Source organism: Homo sapiens, chromosome 9, assembly GCF_000001405.40.
Source record: "Homo sapiens chromosome 9, GRCh38.p14 Primary Assembly".
NCBI classification, from domain to species: domain Eukaryota; kingdom Metazoa; phylum Chordata; class Mammalia; order Primates; family Hominidae; genus Homo; species Homo sapiens.
The window spans coordinates 119,976,656-119,981,631 of NC_000009.12; positions in this window are offsets into that span (position 1 = coordinate 119,976,656).

The window sequence follows — 4,976 nt, forward strand, 5'->3', positions numbered from 1 at the left end:
CCTTGGTTTATAGATGGTTATCCTCTCCCTGTGTCTTCATGTGGTCTTCCTGCTGTGTGTGATGAATGGTAGGGGTCCTAATCTACACTGAAGATTCAGATGACTTAGACCCAGAACTGAACACAAGACTATTGGACTCCAGTGTCCAACCCCTGTTTAGGCTGAGACTTGTAGGGTAAGTGGCAGTTAAGAAGAATCTCCTCTTTGTATAAGGACACTAGTCAAATTAGATTAGAACCCACCCTAATGACCGCATTTTAACTTAACCTCTTTAAAGAACCTATCTCCAAACATGGTCACCTTCTAGGTACTGGGAAAGAGAACTTCAACATATAAATTTTGGGAGGACACAATTTGGCCCATAACACTGGGAGTGAAGAAAATGAGATCCTAGACCCAGTTCTGACATGAGGATAAAGTCTAAAATGCATAAAATGGCAAAGCCCTCTACTACCTTAGTCCTGCCTGTGTCTACACACTCGCCTCATGTTCCTCTCTCACTCTTTACACACTGCAGACATAGTCTTCTTTTCATCTCTGAATTGAACCAGACTTTGGTCCAGACTTCTTTCCATCTCTGAATGGAGCTTTGTCTCTTAAGTTTCAAACACATGGATTCCCTCTGTCCAGCTTCTCTCTCAGCTCAGCTTCTCCCTCACCTGGCTAACTGCCACTCACCCCTCAAGTCTCAGCCTAAATATCCCCTCCTCAGGGGTCAGACATTTGAGTCCAATAGACCTGGGTTCAGTTCTGGGTCTAAGTCACCTGGATCCTCAGTGGGGATTAAGGCCCCTGCCTTCCATTCCCACAGGTCCTCACCTCCCCTCAGTAACACTAATAATGCCTGAAGTTGGGCAGTGAGCATTACTGAAAAGATGTCTCCGTCTGGCTCACTGATTATCACTGCCGATTCAGTCAGGAGAGTCAAGGATATGCCACAGAGACAAGCATCACCAAAAATGCAAGGGTTTAACAGAAAAAATGGTTTATGTCTCATTCATAGTGCATGGCTCTGTCATCAGGAGACTGCTCGTTGTAGCCCAAGCTGATGAAAGTTCTGCTTTGATGTGTGCTTCCACAATCACACACCAGGAGAGCAGAGTTCTGGAGGATCACATGCTGGCAATAAAATATTCCAGTGGGAGCATGTCACACATTGCTTCCATGCACAACTCTTTTGGCTGGTCTCATGACTGCACCAGGGAGCCAAAAAGTGCAGACTTTCAAGTATTGGTGAACAGCACTAATGATTACCACAATGGCAACTTCCAGAGCACAATGATGCTTAATCGAGATATGTTGAATGGTAATAATAACCCTCATTTTTCAAGCACTTACTGTTTTGTGCACTGGGTGGTAATTGTTTTTACTGAATATGGATTCATTCTTCCTACAATGGCATACATGTGTCATAATACCACCTAGCTTCATAAAATCCTATGACTCCATAGCCACTTCCTGCTATTATCCCATTTCTCAGTAAGTTACCTGGAAGCCCAGCCTATCCTTGTTATGCCCACTTTCTTACCTCCCTCTCTAATTTTACCCCACTCCAATCAGGCTTATACCCCCGCCTCCATTGAGATGACTCTTATCAAAGTCATCTCTGGCCCACCTCCAGCCAAACCAGTAGTGAGTTATCTGTCTTCCTCTTGATATTTTGTAGGTTCACTCCCATTGCTTGAGATATTTTCTTCTCTAGAAATCCTTGGCACCTCACCCTCACTGTGTTCCTCTCACCTCCCTGGCCGTACATGCTCAGCCTCCTCTGCTGGCTCCCACACTCGGCCCAACCTCAGAATGCTGCCTGGCCCTAGGATTCTTCCCCACCCTTTTTGTGAGCCCCACTCTCTGGAATCTCCACCACTCCCATGTCTTCACCTGATCTTTGTATATGTTAATGACTCTCATGTACATTACAGGATGTTTTCCTAATTCACTGCCCTTCCAGCGTCTCCAACTAGATATCTAATAGGCATCTAAAATGTAACATGCTTAGATCAGAACTCAATTCCTACACACTCCCGCCACCCCAAGTTGTTCCCATATTAATAAAGGTAGCACTGTCCACTCAGTTTCCCAAGCCCAACACCTTGAAGTTATCTTAAATTGTTTTCTTGTCCTTAGACTCCATATCCAACCCAAGAGTAGTTTTCTTGGCTCTATCCCCACCATATTGGCTGAATCCAACCATTTGTCATTATTTCTCTTTTCCAAGCCACAACCAGCCCTTACCTGGAAAATTATCACAATTTCCTGACTTGCCTTAGAACTCTTGAATGACTTAACTGTAGCATCCTGAATGAAATCTGCATGCCTTGCTGAGGTCCACAGGGTGCTAAACAACCTGGCCCATGCCCCTGTGCAATCTCACTCTTTCCACTCACTCCCATTTTCTCCCATTGCAGCCTCCCTGACCTGCCTGTCTTTCCAGTATCAGGTTCTCCCATCCCCAGGCCCTTTCATGGGCTGTGCGTTCTTCTCAGAATACTCTCATCCCACAGCTTTTTATGGCAGCTCAAAGCTGTCAAGGAGCTAGCTCAATGTCATTTATCAGAAAGTGTTAGAGCCAAGGTTGGGAAAAGTTTTGTTCAATTCCCACGCCTCTGTTCTTGCCTTTGCACTGCCTTCCACTAGACAGTGGTGGTGAAGTGCATTAGCTTTGCCTCTCTGCAGTTCCTTTCAGCATTAAAATTCCATTTTATTCTAAGTGTATCTTTGCAAAGGCCATTAAAAAGGTCATCTGGCATCAAATCTCCTTTCTTAACTTTGGAACTAAGAAAGTCCTCTGGTGCTTTCTCAGCTGTAAAACAAAGATAATACCTTCCTGTGAGACTTTAAAGAGATGCATGGCAACATATCTAGCACACAGTAGGGACTCAATATATGCGATCTTCATTTTTTCCCTGATATCATTCACTTATTCTACAAATATCTATAGAGCAATGCTCTGTGCTACATGCTATGGGGGTTACAAATGTGAACTGGCATAGGATTCTTCTCTTTAGAGACTGAAATTGTCATAGGGGACAGAAAGCATTTGCTCAAATATCTTTAATACAAACTAGGAAGTGCAAGGTGCTTTGACACTGAAGTTCAACAGAACTATGTTCAGTCCCCAGTCCCCTCTGCCCTGCTGTGTGATGTCAAGGAAGTCACTCAACTTCCTTGAGACTCACTTTCCTCATCTGTCAAATGAGGTCAACACCAAGACTCAGTATTGTTTACAGGAATTAAACAAGTTGAGATCCATAAAACATAGCAAGTGCTCAATAAATAGAAGCTGTTAGGATTGTGTTAACTGACATTTACTGAGCACTTACTATGTGCTGAGCATGTTCTTGGTGCTTTACATGTAACAACTCACGGCTCACAGCAACCCTAATATTAATGTGAGTACACTTACTTCCCTCATTACAGGATAAAGGAATGAAAGCACAGAGGGGTTAAGGGCCTTGGCCAAGGTCTCACAGCAAGTAAGTGGCCTGCAGTGAGGCTATGGAGTCATGAACCTAACCACTGGACCAGACTGCCTCCCTGAGAGGAGTTCTGTAGGTTGCAGAGCAGAGAGAGCTGAATTCCAGCTTCGGATGCAATCAGGGAAGGCTTCTTGAAGCAGGTGGGGTTGTGCAGCTCCCAAGCTCTCCTTAGCCCTAGCACCCATTCCTTCAATTCTACATCCATCACAGCCTGGAAGTCTTGACCTCCCTAGCCCCCAAAGTCTGCCACGACTGAGGTGTAATGTTTGAAAATTGCCCACTAAAGTGTGAGAGCAAACCAGGCAGAATGCTAAAAGACCAGAAAACATAAAATATGAAAACAGCCTCTGACAGTGCAAAAATCAAGGAAGGACTTCTGCAAAAAAAAAAAAAAAAAAACTCCGTTTCTAGCCAAAAGGAGCTTTATTCCACCTAGTAATTCAGTGTGTCTGCTCTCCCTTCCCCCGAAATAGGAACCCTCCACCCTAGGCATGGGTAATAAGGTGAGGCTGGGATGGCCCTTCCGTAATGAAGGCATTTCTCCTCCTTGGTGGTGGGGGATGAGGCATGATGGAGGGGCAGAGGGAGTCAAGGGCAGTTTGGGGTACAAATTCCTTTGTCCTGCACAGTCATTCTGAGTCCATGGGATTGGAAGAGTCTTGAAAGCTAAACTAAAGAAGACCCTTGGAAGCTGGGCTCCCATCAGTGGGGAAAGGAATTGGGACCCTGGGGCCATACAGAGAGCTCAGCAAAGGTTTGCTTCAAAGGTCTTGGAAGTTTTTGTCAGAAGAAACCTTGAGTTGTCATGTGGGTGTATACTAAAGGCAAAAGCATGGACACCGGAGGTGTATGGGCCTGGTCCAAACCCCAACCCTGCCGTTTCCAACCTGTGTGACCTTGGGAAAGTCCATTTGCCTCTCTGAATCTTGTATTCCATGAAATAGAATATCTGCGTCAGGGAGTTAAGTGACACACCATCATCTGCAAGAGACATGGCACGAAGCACAAAGCAGGAATTCAAATGTCGACTTCCTTCACCCTCCTTACAGTGTCAGCCTGGGGGAATAAGACCTGGAGCCTGTGCCCTTCTCCCTACAAATGGCCTTCTCCCTGATTCTCAGCAGCCCCTCAGCTGACACTGCAGAAAGGGAGGCCAGATTGCTCCTTGGAACACTCTTTCAGAAATGCTAGGCTGAGAACAGAATGATTGTGATGTCCATAAGTTTAGGGAATGCTTCCCTGCCCTGTCTCCCCATCAGCGACATTAAAGGCTATGAAAAGGCCTGCAGTGGAGAGACTTGCTCAACTTTTTTTAGCCCAAAGTCCTACTTGTCCATAGAACTTTTTATTTTTTGAAGAATATCACATATTAATGGCCTCCCAAAACCATATGCCATGAAAATATATTTCAAGAGGTGTTGCCAGATTATATTAAAGGCAAAGGTCAGTTTTATGTGAAAGGGGAAAATGAATTTAAATGTTATTATTACCAAAGTA